This window comes from Homo sapiens, chromosome 11 (assembly GCF_000001405.40).
Source record: "Homo sapiens chromosome 11, GRCh38.p14 Primary Assembly".
NCBI lineage: Eukaryota > Metazoa > Chordata > Mammalia > Primates > Hominidae > Homo > Homo sapiens.
In genome coordinates, this window is record NC_000011.10 from 93,438,471 (window position 1) to 93,455,690 (window position 17,220).

At 39.3% G+C, this 17,220-nt stretch overlaps 1 annotated feature.

Moving 5' to 3' along the window:
* Positions 5,914-6,486: an enhancer, noted in NCBI's record as "NANOG-H3K27ac hESC enhancer chr11:93177550-93178122 (GRCh37/hg19 assembly coordinates)". NCBI's record gives its function as "activates a minimal SCP1, AML or CMV promoter by ChIP-STARR-seq in naive H9 embryonic stem cells {active_cell/tissue: H9 hESC(naive)}" and the evidence as "EXISTENCE:reporter gene assay evidence [ECO:0000049][PMID:30033119]".

Genomic DNA, 17,220 nt, shown 5'->3' on the forward strand with positions numbered 1-17,220 from the left:
TGGACTTGAAGCATAAATGCTAAATCTGTATAGAACAGTAATAGCATGGCTGTGAACAATAAAACAGAGTTACAAATACACAGCAATAATACAATATACTTTAAGAGTTTCACATATGTGTGTGTGTGTATATATATGTCTCTCTCTCTCTCTATATATATATATATATGTATATATGAAGAGAGATTATGAAAGAAGGTAAGTCCTACTACAGCTTTTACAGTTCTCTATTTCCCTTTAAAGAAACAATCTCATCATACTGAAAGATAAACCAAAATGCCATTAGATACCAAGTGTCATTTTCATGTGAAAAATGCAGAGCATTGTAGACTTCAGATGACATGACCACATGTGTTTGTATAGCTCTGGACGTTTGAAGAAAAGAAAAGATGTATTTGTATAGCTCTTGAGGTTTGTCTTAGTTCAGCCCGCTATAGCAAAAATACCATAGACTGGGTGACCTAAACAACAAACATTTATCTCTCACAGTTCAGAAGGCTGGGAAGTCCAAGATCAAGGTGCCAGCTAATCTGGTGTCTGGCGAGGGCCCACTTCCAGGCTTGTTGACAGCCACCTTCTTGATGTATCTTCACATGGCAGAGAGGAAGTATCTCTCTCAGTTTCTTTTTTTTCTTTTTTATTATACTTTAAGTTCTAGGGTACATGTGCACAACGTGCAGGTTTGTTACATAGTTACACATGTGCCATGTTCTTTTGCTGCACCCATCAACTCGTCATTTACATTAGGTATTTCTCCTAATGTTATCCCTCTCCCAGCCCCCCATCCCTCGACAGGCCCTGGTATCTGATGTTCCCCACCCTGTGTCCATGTGTTCTCATTTTTCAACTTCCACTTATGAGTGAGAACATGCAGTGTTTGGTTTTCTGTCCTTGTGATAGTTTACTGAGAATCATAGTTTCCAGCTTCATCCACGTCCATGCAAAGGACATGAACTCATCCTTTTTTAAGGCTCCATGGTGTATATGTGCCACATTTTGTTAATCCAGTCTATCATTGATGAACATTTCAGTTGGTCCCAAGTCTTTGCTATTGTGAATAGTGCTGCAACAAACATACGTGTGCATGTGTCTTTATAGTAGCATGATTTATAATCCTTTGGGTATACACCCAGTAATGGGATGGCTGGGTCAAATGGTATTTCTAGTTCTAGATCCTTGAGGAATCGCCACGCTGTCATCCACAATGGTTGAACTAATTTACACTCCCACCAACAATGTAAAAGCATTCCTATTTCTCCACATCCTCTCCAGCATCTGTTTTTCCTGTTTAATGATTGCCATTTTAACTGGCCTGAGATGGTATCTCATTGTGGTTTTGATTTGCATTTCTCTGATGACCAGTGATGATGAGCATTTTTTCATATGTCTGTTGGCTGCATAAATACCTTCTTTTGAGAAGTGTCTCTTCATATCCTTTGCCCACTTTGTGATGGGGTTGTTTGTTCTTTTCTTGTAAATTTGTTTAAGTTCTTTGTAGATTCTGGATATTAGCCCTTTGTCAGATGAGTAGGTTGTGAAAAGTTTCTCCCATTCTGTAGGTTGCCTGTTCACTCTGATGGTAGTTTCTTTTGCTGTGCAGAAGCTCTTTAGTTTAATTAGATCCCATTTGTCTATTTTGGCTTTTGTTGCCATTGCTTTTGGTGTCTTTGCCCATGCCTATGTCCTGAATGGTATTGCTTAGGTTTTCTTCTAGGGTTTTTATGGTTTTAGGTCTAACATGTAAGTCTTTAATCCATCTTGAGTTAATTTTTATATAAGGTGTAAGGAAGGGATCCACTTTCAGCTTTGTACATATGGCTAGCCAGTTTTCCCAGCACCATTTATTAAATAGGGAATCCTTTCCCCATTGCTTGTTTTTCTCAGGTTTGTCAAAGATCAGATGGTTGTAGAAGTGTGGTGTTATTTCTGAGGCCTCTGTTCCGTTCCATTGGTCTGTACATCTGTTTTGTTACCAGTACCATGCTGTTTTGGTTACTGTAGCCTTGTAGTATAGTTTGAAGTCAGGTAGCATGATGCCTCCAGCTTTGTTCTTTTTGCTTAGGATTATCTTGGCTATGCAGGCTCTTTTTTGGTTCCATTTGAACTTTAAAGTAGTTTTTTCCAATTCTGGAAGAAAGTCATTGGTAGCTTGATGGGGATGGCACTGAATCTATAAATTACCTTGGGCAGTATGGCCATTTTCACAATATTGCTTCTTCCTATCCATGAGCATGGAATGTTCTTCCATTTGTTTGTGTCCTCTTATTTCGTTGAGCAGTGGTTTGTAGTTCTCCTTGAAGAGGTCCTTCACATCCCTTGTAAGTTGGATTCCTAGGTATTTCATTCTCTTTGTAGTAATTGGGAATGGGAGTTCACTCATGATTTGGCTCTCTGTTTGTCTGTTACTGGTGTATAGGAATGCTTGTGATTTTTGCACATTGATTTTGTATCCTGAGACTTTGCTGAAGTTGCTTATCAGCTTAAGGAGATTTTGGGCTGAGACGATGGGGTTTCCTAAATATAAATCACATCATCTGCAAACAGGGACAATTTGACTTCCTCTTTTCCTAATTGAATACCCTTTATTTCTTTCTCTTGGCTGATTGCCCTGGCCAGAACTTCCAACACTATGTTGAATAGGAGTGGTGAGAGAGGGCATCCTTGTCTTGTGGCAGTTTCAAAGGGAATGCTTCCAGTTTTTGCCCATTCAGTATGATATTGGCTGTGGGTTTGTCATTAATAGCTCTTACTATTTTGAGATATGTTCCATCAATACCAAGTTTATTGAGAGTTCTTAGCATTGAAGCTCTGTTGAATATTGTCAAAGACCTTTTCTGCATCTACTGAGATAATCACATGGTTTTTGTCATTGGTTCTGTTTATGTGATGGATTACATTTATTGATTGGCATATGTTGAACCAGCCTTGCATCCCTTGATCGTGGTGGATAAGCTTTTTGATGTACTGCTCGATTTGGTTTGCCAGTATTTTATTGAGGATTTTCACATCGATGTTCATCAGGGATATTGGCCTAAAATTTTCTTTTTTTGTGTGTCTCTGCCAGGCTGTGGTATCAGGATAATGCTGGCCTCATAAAATGAGTTAGGGAGGATTCCCTCTTTTTCTATTGATTGGAATAGTATCAGAAGGAATGGTACCAGCTCCTCTTTATACCTCTGGTAGAATTCAGCTGTGAATCCGTCTGGTCCCGGACTTTTTTTGGTTGGTAGGCTATTAATTATTTCCTCAATTTCAGAACCTGTTATTGGTCTATTCAGAGATTCAACTTCTTCCTGGTTTAGTCTTGGGAGGGTGTATGTGTCCAGGAATTTATCCATTTCTTCTAGAGTTTCTAGTTTATTTGCGTAGAGGTGTTTATAGTATTCTCTGATGGTAGTTTGTATTTCTGTGGGATCGGTGGTGATATCCCTTTTATCATTTTTTATTGCATCTATTTGATTCTTCTCTCTTTTCTTCTTTATTAGTTTTGCTAGTGCTCTATTTTGTTGATTTTTTCAAAAAACCAGCCCCTGGATTCATTGATTTTTTTGAAGAGATTTTTGTGTCTCTATCTCCTTCAGTTCTGCTCTGATCTTAGTTATTTCTTGCCTTCGGCTAGCTTTTGAATGTGTTTGCTCTTGCTTCTGTAGTTCTTTTAATTGTGATGTTAGGGTGTCGATGTTAGATCTTTCTTGCTTTCTCTTGTGGGCATTTAGTGCTATAAATTTCCCTCTACACAATGCTTTAAATGTGTTCCAGAGATTCTGGTACACTGTGTCTTTGTTCTCATTGGTTTCAAAGAACATCTTTATTTCTGCCTTCATTTCGTTTTCTACCCAGTAGCATTCAGGAGCAGGTTGTTCAGTTTCCATGTAGTTGTGTGGTTTTGAGTGAGTTTCTTAATCCTGAGTTCTAATTTGATTGCACTGTGGTCTGAGAGACAGTTTGTTGTGATATCTGTTCTTTTGCATTTGTTGAATATTTTACTTCCAATTATATGGTCAATTTTAGAATAAGTGTGATGTGGTGCTGAGAAGAATGTATATTCTGTTGATTTGGGGTGGAGAGTTCCATAGATGTGTATTAGGTCCACTTGGTCCAGAGCTGAGTTCAAGTCCTGGATATCCTTGTTAATTTTCTGTCTCATTGATCTAATATTGACAATGGGGTGTTAAGATCTCCCATTATTATTGTGTGGGAGTCTAAGTCTCTTTGTAGGTCTCTAAGGACTTGCTTTATGAATCTGGGTGCTCCTGTATTGGGTGCATATATATTTAGGATGGTTAGTTCTTCCTGTTGAATTGATCCCTTTACCAATATGTAATGGCCTTCTTTGTCTCTTTTGAACTTTGTTGGTTTAAAGTATGTTTTATCAGAGACTGGGATTGCAACCCCTGCTTTTTTTTTGCTTTCCATTTGCTTGGTAGATCTTCCTCCATCCTTTTATTTTGAGCCTATGTGTGTCTTTGCATCTGAGATGGGTCTCCTGAATACTGCACACCAATGGGTCTTGACTCTTTATCCAATTTGCCAGTCTGTGTCTTTTAATTGGGGCATTTAGCCCATTTACATTTAAGATTAATATTGTTATGTGTGAATTTGATCCTGTCATTATGATGTTTGCTGGTTATTCTGCCCATTAATTGATGCAGTTTCTTCATAGCGTCAATGGTTTTCACAATTTGGCATGTTTTTGCAGTGGCTGGTACCTGTTGTTCCTTTCCATGTTTAGTGCTTCCTTCAGGGGCTCTTGTAAGGCAAGCCTGGTGGTGACAAAATCTCTCAGCATTTGCTTGTCTGTAAAGGATTTTATTTCTCTTTCACTTATGAAGCTTAGTTTGGCTGGATATGAAATTTTGGGTTTGAAAAGTCTTTTCTATAAGAATGTTGAATATTGGCCCCCACTTTCTTCTGGCTTGCAGGGTTTCTGCTGAGAGATCCGCTGTTAGTCTTATGGGCTTCCCTTTGTGGGTAACCCGACCTTTCTCTCTGGCTGCCCTTAGCATTTTTTCCTTCATTTCAGCCTTGGTGAATCTGACAATTATGTGTCCTGGGGTTGCTCTTCTTGAGGAGCATCTTTGTGGTGTTCTCTGTATTTCCTGAATTTGAATGTTGGCCTGCCTTGCTAGATTGGGGAAGTTCTCCTGGATAATATCCTGAAGAATGTTTTCTAACTTGGATCCATTCTCCCTGTTACTTTCAGGAACACCAATCAAATGTAGATTTGGTCTTTTCACATAGTCCCATATTTCCTGGAGGCTTTGTTCGTTTCTTTTCACTCTTTTTTCTCTAATCCTGTCTTCTCGCTTTATTTCATTAATTTGACCTTTGATCACTGATATCCTTTCTTCCACTTGATCGAGTCGGCTGTTAAAGCTTGTGCATGCATCACGAAGTTCTCATGCTGTGGTTTTCACCTCCATCAGGTCATTTAAGTTCTTCTCTACACTGTTTATTCTAGTTAGCCATTTGTCTAACCTTTTTTCAAGGTTTTTAACTTCCTTGCAGTGGGTTAGAACATGCTCCTTTAGCTTGGAGAAGTTTGTTATTACCGACCTTCTGAAGCCTACTTCTGTCAACTTGTCAAACTCATTCTCTGTCCAGTTTTGTTCCTTTGCTGGCGAGGAGCTGCAATCCTTTGGAGGAAAAGAGGTGCTCCAGTTTTTGGAATTTTCAGCTTTTCTGCTCTGATTTCTCCCCATCTTCGTGGTTTTATCTACCTTTGGTCCTTGATGTTGGTGACCTACAGATGGGGTTTTGGTGTGGATGTGCTTTTTGTTGATGTTGATGCTATTCCTTTCTGTTTGTTAGTTTTCCTTCTAACAGTCGAGCCCCTCAGCTGCAGGTCTGTTGGATTTTGCTGGAGGTCCACTCCAGACCCTGTTTGCCTGGGTATCACCAGTGGAGGGTGCAGAACAGCAAATATTGCTGCCTGATCCTTCCCCTAGAAGCTTCATCCCAGAGGGGCACCTGCCTGTATGAGGTGTCTGTCGGCCCCAAGTGGGAGGTGTCCCCCAGTCAGGCTACACAGGGGTCAGGGACCCACTTGAGGAGGCAGTCTGTCCGTTTTCAGAGATCGAACACCATACTGAGAGAACCACTGCTCTCTTCAGAGCTGTCAGACAGGGACGTTTAGGTCAGCCGAGGCTGTCAGCTGCCTTTTGTTCTGATATGTCCTGCCCCTAGATGTGGAATCTAGAGAGGCAGTAGGCCTTGCTGAGCTGTGGTGGGCTCCGCCCAGTTTAAGCTTCCCAGCCTCTTTGTTTACACTGTGAGCATAAAACCACCTACTCAAGCCTCATCAATGGTGGACGCCCCTCCCCCCACCAAGCTGCAGCATCACAGGTCTACCTCAGACTGCTGCGCTAGCAGTGAGCAATGCTCTGTGGGCGTGGGAGCTGCCAAGCCAGGCAGGGGAGGGAATTTCTTGGTCTGCGGGTTGTGAAGACTGTGGGAAAGCGCAGTATTTGGGCAGGAGTTTACTGGGCAGGAGTTTACTGTTCTTCCAGGTACAGTCCCTCACAGCTTCCCTTGATTAGGAAAGGGAAATCCCCTGACCCCTTGCGCTTCCCAGGTGAGGCAACACCCCGCCCTGCTTCAGCTTGCCCTCCGTGAGCTGCACCTCCTGTCCAACCAGTCTCAATGAGATGAACCAGGTACCTCAGTTGTAAATGCAGAAATCACCAGTCTTCATCGATCTCGCTGGGTGCTGCAGACCGGAGCTGTTACTGTTTGGCCATCTTGGAAGCAACTTCTCGTTTCTTCTTTATAAGGCTGTAATCCCATTGATGAAGGTGTCTACCCTCATGATGTAATTACCTCCTAAAGGCCCAATTTCCTAATACCATCACAATGGAGGTTAAAATTTCAATACAGTCATGTATCACTTAATGACAGGGATATATTCTGAGAAATGTCTTGTTAGGCAATTACATTGTGCAAACATCATAGAGTGGACTTATACAAACCTAGATGGCACAACTACTACACACCTAGGCTATATGGCATAGCCTATTGCTCCTAGGCTACAAACTTGTACAGTGTGTTACTGTACTGAATGCTGTAGGTAATTTTAACACAATGGTAAGTATTTGTGTATCTAAATATAGAAAAGGTAGAGCAAAATATGGAATTATAATATGGGAACACCATCATACATTAGGTCCATTGAAATATTATTATGCAGTGCATGACTCTATAAATTTTAGGTGGGCACACACATTCTGTCCACAACACCTTCCCATAGGATTATTCATTTAAACTCGAAATGAGCCTGTGAGGTCACCAAGCCTGATATCCTTGTCCCTGGGAATCAGAGCTGTTAAGAAACTTACTCAGAATCATGGTAAATGGGAGAATCAGAAAGGAAACCCCTGGTCTTCTGATTCCTGGCTCTAGCTCTTATTACTTCCCAGTATCACTTCTTGTAAACAAGCAGATGGTGAACAAAGTTGCATCCACAGAAGCCAGGTTTGATGACAAAACATCAGAAGGTCCAAAGCCATTAGTGTACTCACAAAATCTCCATGTGGAAAAATAATAGAATTATGATACCTTCAAATTATTTAGTAATTGCTAGCCTAGACATGAGGAAAATATTGTTCAGTGTTATCTTTAGAAAACAGGAAGAAGTATGTTTAGGAAAAAGGCATTCCATAAACAAATTTGAAAACCTTAATATCCCTAATACAAACAATGAAAAAGTTTCAATATACATATCTTGATAATCCCCTAAGTCAGGATGACATTTCATTCTCTTCAGGGTAAAGATACAATTGAAAATTGTTTGTTGAAATAAAGATCTAGGCTACAATAGTCTCAGAACTTAGCAGAGTCAAGACAGCATGAGTTTGGACTATGTCCAGAACTAATGGTAAATTTGCCCCTATGGCCTATTAATACTTAAGTCCATATACAGACTTCTTTTAAATTACTATTTCAGCATTCCACTTGATACTAACTTTCTTAAAATTGTGGTTTTCGATATGCTTTGCTTAAGAACAGGATTCAGTGTTCAAAAGGAATCATATGCTGAAGTCCAACATCGATATACCGTAATCAAGATAAAAGGCAAGTAGTCCTTGTTGAATGTTGAAAGGAGGTAGTGAGGCCAACCCGCCCTCTCTACTCCCCATCTCTATTCCCCTCTCTTCCCCTTCTGCTCACCATAGGCCAAAGGCATGGCCATGGAGCAGCTTCCCTAGATGTTGTGGAGGGGGCCTGAAGGAGAGGCAGATTTGCTTGGTTATTACCTTAGCACAGAATACATTTTCCTGCAGAAACTGTTTCATGGATACTGGTTATAACCTCCACACCAAAAGCAGGGTTTCAAACAGGGAAGCCTTCAGCAGGGCCAAGCATAGAACTAAGGAGATCCTCAGAGCTACCTCGCTGACCCCAGGACCGGACTAGAAATGTTTAGGTCTTAAAGGTGCTCTGTACAATAGGACAAGTTAGACCTGTTGGAGACAAAGTTCTCCATGCCTTGGCACAGTGACCTTAACAAAGCTTCCATTTCCTTATCTATAGAACAGGCATAATACTACTACCTACCTCGGAGGATTGTTGTGAGGATTAGAGGATGTAATGTACATAATGTGGTTAGCATGGAGCTTGGCACAGTCAGTACTCAGTACATGCTAGCTGTTGGCATTTGCCATCCTTGCCCTCTGAGGCATTAGGTCTGAACTCCGAAGACAAAGCACATCCTCAAGGAACAATACTATCATTTTTTGGGGACCATGTGACAGCCACCATACATAAGTTAATCATTAACAGTTTTCTTAAAAAGAATTACACACCATAAAACTCACCCATTTAAAAGGTATATTTCAATGATTTTTACTAAGTTTACAGAGTTGTGTATCCATTGCCACAACCCAATTTTAGAACATTACCTTCACTCCAAAAAGATCCCTAATGCCTGTTTTTAGTCACTCCCTGTTCCTATGCCCAACCCCAGGCAGCTACTAAACTACTTTCTGTCTCTACAGATTTACCTGGACATTTTACATAAATGAATTCATATGTGGGTTTTTTTTAATCTTAGCATAATGTTCTCAAGATTTGTATTGTAGCATATATCAGTATCTTGTTCTTTTTTTATTGCTTAGCAGTATTCTGTTGTATGAATAAACCACGTTTCATTTATCTATTTCACCAGTTGATGGACATTTGAATTGCTTCCAGTTTAGGGCTATTATGAATAAAGCTGTTATGAATACACAAGTCTCCATGGGGACATATGTTTTCATATCTATTGAATCATTTCCTAGGAGTAGAATTTCTGAGTTACATGGTATATTTATGTTTAACTTTGAAAAAAAATTTTTAGTGTGTATAAAAGAATATTTCATTCTGGTTTTAATTCTCATTTCTCTAGTGGCTAATGATGTTGAGCATCATTATGTGTGCTTATTGACCATCCACATCTATTCTTCAGTGAAATGTCTATTTAAATCTTTCGCCAATTTTATAATTAGGTTATTTCTCTTGTTGAGTTATAAAAATTCTTTATATATTAGATATTAATCCTTTATCAGATATAAGATTTGCATATATTTTCTCCCAGTCTGTGACTTGTCATTTTCTTAATGGTGTCTTTTGAAGCAAATAAGTTTTAAATTTTGATAAAGTACACTTCATTAGTTTTTTTATTTTACGAATTATGCTTTTAGCATCATATCTAAGAAATATTTGCCCAATCCAAGTCACAAAGTTATCCTTTATATTTTCTTCTAAAATTGTTATAGTTTTAAGTTTTACATTAGATCTAGAGTCCATTTTGAGTTAACATTTTTGTATGGTGATAGGGTCTAGATTCATCTTTTTACCTGTGGATATCTAATTGTCCCAGCACCATACGTTTCAAAAAAAAAAAACATTCTTTTTCCCCTTTAAATTGTTTTGGACCTTTGTTGAAAAATCAATTGGATATAAACATAAGGGTTTATTTCTGGACTCTTAATTCTCTTACATTGACCTATATGTTATTCCTTATGCCAGTACCACACAATCGTACTTACTGTAGCTTTGCCAGAAGTTTTGATATTGGGAAGTGTAAGTCCTCCAACTTTCAAAATGATTTTGACTATTTTGGGTAGTTTGATCAGCTTGTCAGCTTGTCAATTTTTGTAAAAAAAAAAGTAATAATAATAATAATAGTAAGCCTGCTGAGATTTCTATGGAGATTAAGACGGCAGTCCTCTCCAAAATGACCTATACTGAATCTCAGTTTGGGCGGCATTGCCATCTTAATAATATTGAGTCTTCCAATTTGTAAACATGAAATTTCACATTTTTTCCATTATTTAGTTCTTCTTTAATTTCTCTTAGAAATGTTTTAGTTTCCAATGTATAATATTATGCTTCTTTTGTTAAATTTATTCCTAAATATTTTATTTGATTTGATGCTGTTACTAATGAATTGTTTTCTTAATTTCATTATTGGATTGTTCATGGTTAGTATATAGAAATACAATAGATTTTTGTATACTAGTTTTGTATTCTGTGACCCAGCTGAGCTCATTTATTCTAGTAGGGGTGTGTGTGTGTGTGTGCGCGCGTGCGCGCTCCTCGGAATTTTCTGCATACAGGGTCATGTTGTCTTTACGTAAAGACAGCTTTTTTACTTCTTCTTTCCATTCTGGGAACATTTTCTTTCTTTTCCTTACCTGACTGCACTAGCTAGAAACTCCAGTACAATGTTAAATAGAAGTGGCGAGAGCAGACATGTTTGCCTTGTTCTTGATCTTAAGAGAAAGCTTTTAGTCTTTCATCATTAATTATGATGTTAGCGACAGGTTTTTTGTAGATGCTTTTTATCAAGTTGCAGAAGTTCTCATATAGTCCTAGTTTATTGAGAGTTTTTATGATTGGCCATTAGATTTTGTTAAATGCTTTTTCTGTGTCTGCTGAGATGATCATGGGGTTTTTGTCCTTTATTAATATAGAATATTATATTAACTTTTAAAAGGGATAAACCAATCTTATGTTTCTGGGATAAAGCCTACTTGATCGTGATGTATAATTCCTTTTATATGTTGCTGGATTTTGTCTGCTTATATTTTGTTGAGAATTGTGTCTATATACATGAGGGATATTGGTCTCTAGTTTTCTTGTCATGTCTTTGTCTGGCTTCGGTATCAGGGTAATTTTTGCCTCATAGAGTGAATAGTGAAGTTTTCCCTACTCCTCTGTTTTCTAGAAGAGTTTGTATTATTTATTTAAATGCCAATGAAATTCACTAGTGAAGCTATCTGGTCCGGGCTTTTCTTTGTGGGAAAATTTTAATTATTACTTAATATCTTTCCTTGTTATAGCTCTGTTCAGATTTTCTATTTCTTCTTGAGTCCATTTTGGTGATCTGTGTCTTTTAAACTTGATTTGACCTTTATAATAACCTTGAAAGTAAGAATTAGGCCTATTTTATTTTGAGACTTAAAAGACTGAGTGATAGTATTCCAAGATCAAGTATCTGGAAAATGGCCAGTCTGTGGAGTGCTAACATCTGTGCTGCTTCCACCAGGCCACACTGCCTCTAGCAGACATAGGGCTTCTTGAAGGAAAAGGTGACTCCTCACTGCACCACCAAGGCTGCCACCAAAAACAGCCTTCTTTTGTGGGTGTCCTAGTTCAAGTGTTTTTGTTTGTTTGTTTTGTTTTTCCTCAATGACTTGTGCCTCCTGGGAGTTCCAAATGCTGGCAACAGGGAAGCTAACAAAACCCAAGCCTGCTTCTGCCCAAAGACCAGAGTTCTCCTCACTTGAAAGCCCCCTTGAAAACTGCTGCCTTAGGAGCCCCAGCCTCCTGGGAAAGCACCCAATGATAAGCGCTGTACTTAATTCAGATGGACACGTTTTCCTCCCTTGCCTGCCAAGGAAAGGAAAAACAAAATGCCAAAGGACCAAGGTGTGGTTTGCAATGAACCACACTTGTTTTGATATTTACTGCTGACAACTGATGACCAAGACCTCTGCTAAATAAGAGGAGCTCAGATGCGTTGACTTCCCAAATGTTGTTTACTCACACAGAAATGAAATGGCTGCTCCCTCAACAGGAGGAACCCATCCAAGATCAAACTTACTGGCTCTGTGGGTTTCACATAAAATGAAAAATTAGGCTGAGTGCAGTGGCTCATGCCTGTAATCCTAGCACTTGGGGACACCAAGGCAGGCGGATCACTAGGTCAATAGATCGAGACCAGCCTGGCCAACAGGGTGAAGCCCCGTCTCTGTTAAAAATACAAAAATTAGCTGGGCATGGTGGTGCACACCTGTAGTCCCAGCTACCTGGGAGGCTAAGGCAGGAGAATTGCTTGAACCTGGGAGGCAGAGGTTGCAGTGAGCTGAGATCACGCCACTGCACTCCAGCCTGGCAACACAGCAAGACTTCGTCTCTAAATAAGTAAAATGAAGAATTAAGCTTTTCACTTATCTGGTCAATGTGTCTTTTATCAGGTGTGGTGACCTGCTGCCTCAGTCTTTTAAGGCTGCTATAACAAAATACCTTAGAGTGAGTAATTTATAAACAGAAAATTGTTGCTCACAGTTCCAGAGGCTGGGAAGTCCAAGATCAAGGCACCAGCAGATTTGGTGTCTCAGGAAAGGCCCTTCCTTATAGATGACACCTTCTAGCTATGTCCTCACAGCAGAAGGGACAAACAAGCCCCTTAAGGCCTCTTTTTATAGGGTCAGTAATTGGTCCTCATGATCTAGTCACCTCCTAAAGGCCCCATCTCTTAGTAATATTGCACTGGAGATTACATTTCATATGAATTTTGGGGTAACACAAACACTCACATCATAGCACTTGCCTGAAAAAATTATTATGTAACATAGGGCCAACAGGCTTTTTTGTACTTGAGGTATGCACGACAGATCTCCCTTCATTACAAAATTGTATACATTAAATTGATAAAACAGAAAAGAACTGAGCTATCATTCTTCCCATTTGGTATGATTTCTTTTGGTTTTTGTTTGGTTGGTTGGTTATAAAAACAACATTGCAGCTTGGAAATTCTTCCTTTTCATCAGCTTGAGGAAAATCTTCCAAAAGTCAGTGCTGATTGAGCTGAAACCTTTTCTAATCCTAAATATATCCGTTGGTCATGATAAATTATTTCATGAATCATTACCAAGGAATTTTGATAGATAAAATTATGAGTAATCAAACTAAAACAGTTCTTTGGCTTCAGATAAAATGTTTGCTATATATAAAGTTTACTTCATAACCAAAGTTTTTATATTAACAAGAGTTGCACCCAAGAATTTGGGGAGAGTATATATCCATATACGTGTGTGTATTCATTTATGTGCATATATATGTATATAAATAAATATATATATATACAAAACCCTGAAAATAATCAATAAAACATGAATCGAGAACTGTCCCAGAGCTTGGAAAACAAACATATATCAGTCAGTCATTATTTTTAATATTGAAAATATGAGTACTTAAGAATAGATAGGATTTAATGGCCAAACGTAATAGCCGTATTTTGGAGAAAATACGTTTATTTTATTGAAGATAGTATGCTAAATGTATAAGGCACCCAAAGTTTTGGGGAGAATAAAACTTTAGATATATAAAGATTTAAAAATTCTCAGATGAGAGTGAGATTAACCCAGAAGCTGAATTTTGAGTTGGACCATAAAGGATGAGTTGGAAAAGAAGTGAAGGAAGAAGAAGCTAAGTAAACGGATGTTCTCATGTGCTTGCTACCTGGCTCATCATTCGTTCCACAGAATTCACTGAGAACCCACCAAGGGTCAGACATTGGCCCAGATGCTAGATGATAGCCCACAATCCTGAATAAACATGGATAGTGTGGTCCAATGTTATGTTCATTGGTTAGTTTACCAGTCGACATAGCTGTTTTCTACTTAGATATTCACAAATAAGTTTTAAATAATTTTAAAGATGGTCTTAAGTTGTCAGCTTTACAGAGTTTGTAGCAACACTTTCATGTTTGGATGGAGGTGGAGGAGATGAAGGAAGTGGGAACAGGTTCACCTCATTAGTTTGCCATTTCTTTCACTCAGTTCAGCAGTCAGGTCAAAAAGCATTTCTTGACTGTCTATTGCAAGCCAGGCTGTGCTAGGTTTTAGAGGTATGAAGTTGAGTCAAAAACAATTCATGCTCTCAAAAAGTTCCCAAATGAGTGTCAGACACCTATACAGATCATTAAAAAACAACATGCAATATTAAAAACATGTGCACAGCATTATGGAAGCTCAAACGAAGATACCTAACCCAACTTGGGGGGGCAGGTAGCAGTGTGTGTATTAGGAGAGGGTGGAAAATAGGAGTTATCTAAAAAAGGCTCCCCAAGGAAATGATGTCTAGCTGAGTTTTAGAGGCTCAACAGCAGTTAGCATCAAGGGATAGGAGGGATTGACTTCACAGGCATGTGACACAGGGTCTTGTGCTCAGAAGGGCTTGGTTGAATGCTCTGCTCTTGACATCTTGAACTTAATAATTTTCAAAGCCAGGTCCCTGCATTTTTATTTTGCACTGGGCCCTGCAAATAGTCTACCTGCTCCCGAAGATAGGGTAAGGATGGGAAGCAGATAGTGCTTTTGATTATATCTGTCCCACGGCTTCATAAAGTCATGAACAGGCTATGGGACAAACATAATCAAAACTGTGACATGGAACTCCTGATACAAGTGCCTTTCTTTCATGTTTCTCTGTTCCCTCTTAGGCCACATTTTCTCAAGTTGCATTTACCCTCCAACATACATACACTTATTCTTCCTGCTAAGTACAACTAAAATCTCTGGACTTATATATGAAATAAACACAAGATGACTGAAAGATAGAGAGAGAAGGAAGACTGGCTAGAACCCTCAGGAGCAAAAAAACAAGCTGGTGAGTTTCCTGGATTTTCTTTTTGCCTCATAATTATGGCTTGAATTGTGTTCTCCCAAAATTCATATGTTGCTGTCTTAACCCCTAGTGCCTTAGAATGTGACCTTATGTGGAAATAGGGTCACTGCAGATGTATTAGTTACTAAAACGAGGTCATTTTGGAGTAGAGTGGACCCTTAGTCCATTCTGACTAGTGTCCTTATAAAAGGGGGATATTTAGACACAGTTGCACCCAGGGAGAACACCATGTGAATGTAAAGGTAAATATCAAGGTGATGCTTCCACAAGTCAAGAAGCATCAAAGATCACCAGCCAACCACCAGCAGCTGGGAGAGAGGTCTGGAACAGATTTTCCCTCACAGCAATCAAGAGGAACTAATCTACTGACACCTTGACTTTGGACTTCCAGCCTCCAGAACTGCAAGGCTATACATTTCTGTTGTTTGAGCCACCCAATGTGTAGCACTTTGTTACAGCTGCCCTAGGAAACTACTACACTCATACATCCCAGACTTGGAGCTGAACAAACTGGCAACAGGCACAGACAGAAAAGGCCCCATCAAAAGCCTGCTCTCTCTTGGCAAGGACCGAGAAAGGGGCAGCACAGCCAGACAGAAAACTTACAGATAAGAACCACTAAAATCCAGCCAACCACCCCCAAAAAAGCTGTTGGCCACACTAACACCCACACCAGCAAAGGCAGAGGGAGAGCCTAGACTTCTGCCCTCTCTTCAAACACATAGCAAAGTGGCATCGCAGAGGGCTGAGTAGGGCAAAAGAACTCTCATCCATGCCAGCAGGTGATGCAATGTACACCTCTGCAGCATCAGTACAGATTATGTGGGTATCTCATACAAGGCAGGAACAGGCAACTCTACCCCTCACCCCTAGGGTGGGGCAGTGGAGGCCTGGTGGAGAGTCAGAATATTCACCTGAGCTTAGCGGTAAAAAGGACCCTTCTGCAGAAACTGAAACTGGACCCCTTTCTTACACCTTATGCAAAAATTAATTCAAGATGGATTAAAGACTTAAATGTAAGACCTAAAACCATAAAAGCCCTAGAAGAAAACCTAGGCAATACCATTCAGGACATAGGCATGGGCAAAGACTTCATGACTAAAACACCAAGAGCAATGGCAACAAAAGCCAAAATTCTCAAATGGGATCTAATTAAAGAGCTTCTGAACAGCAAAAGAAACTGTCATGAGAGTGAACAGGCAACCTACAGAATGGGAGAAAATTTTTGCAATCCATCTGACAAAGGGCTAATATCCAGAACCTACAAAGAACTTAAACTAATTTACAAGAAAAAAACAAACAACCCCATCAAAAAGTGGGTGAAGGATATGAACAGACAGATTGAGAAATGTCTTCTCAAAAGAAGACATTTATGCAGCCAGTAAACATGAAAAAAAGCTCATCATCACTGGTCATTAGAGAAATGCAAATCAAAACCAGAGTGAGATACCATCTCAGGCCAGTTTGAATAGCAATCATTAAAAAGTGAGAAAATAAAAGATGCTGGCAAAGATATGGAGAAACAGGAACACTTTTACCCTATTGGTGGGAGTGTAAATTAGTTCAACCATTGTGGAAGACAGTGTGGCGATTCCTCAAGGATCTAGAACTAGAAATACCATTTGATTTAGCAATCCCATTACTGGGTATAAACCCAAAGGATTAGAAATGATTCTACTAGAAAGACACATGCAAAAGTATGTTTATTGCAGCACTATTGACAATAGCAAAGACTTGGAACCAACCCAAATGTCCATCAATGATAGACTAGATAAAGAAAATGGGGCACATATACACCATGGAATACTATGAAGCCATAAAAAAGGATGAGTTCACGTCCTTTGCAGGGACATGGATGAAGCTGGAAACCATCATTCTCAGCAAACTAACACAGGAACAGAAAGCCAAACACTGCATGTTCTCACTCATCAGTGGGAACTGAACAATGAGAACACATGGAGACAGGGAGGGGAACATCACACACCAGGGCCTGTCAGGGGGTTGGTGGGGCTAGGGGAGGGATAGCACTAGGAGAAATACCTAATGTAGGTGACGGGTTGCTGGGTGCAGCAAACCACCATGGCACATGTATACCTGTGTAACAAACCTGCACATTCTGCACATGTATCCCAGAACTTAAAGTATTTAAAAAAAAAAAAAAAAAAGAACTAAGGGAGTAGAATACTCATTAGAATTTTTTTTATTTTTTATGTTTGGGGGAGCAATAATTTATATCTCATTGTATTATCGAAATCCAGAAAATTTAATAAAATGAAATGAAGATCCTTGAAGAGAATCAATAAAATAAATAAAACGATTAAATCACTT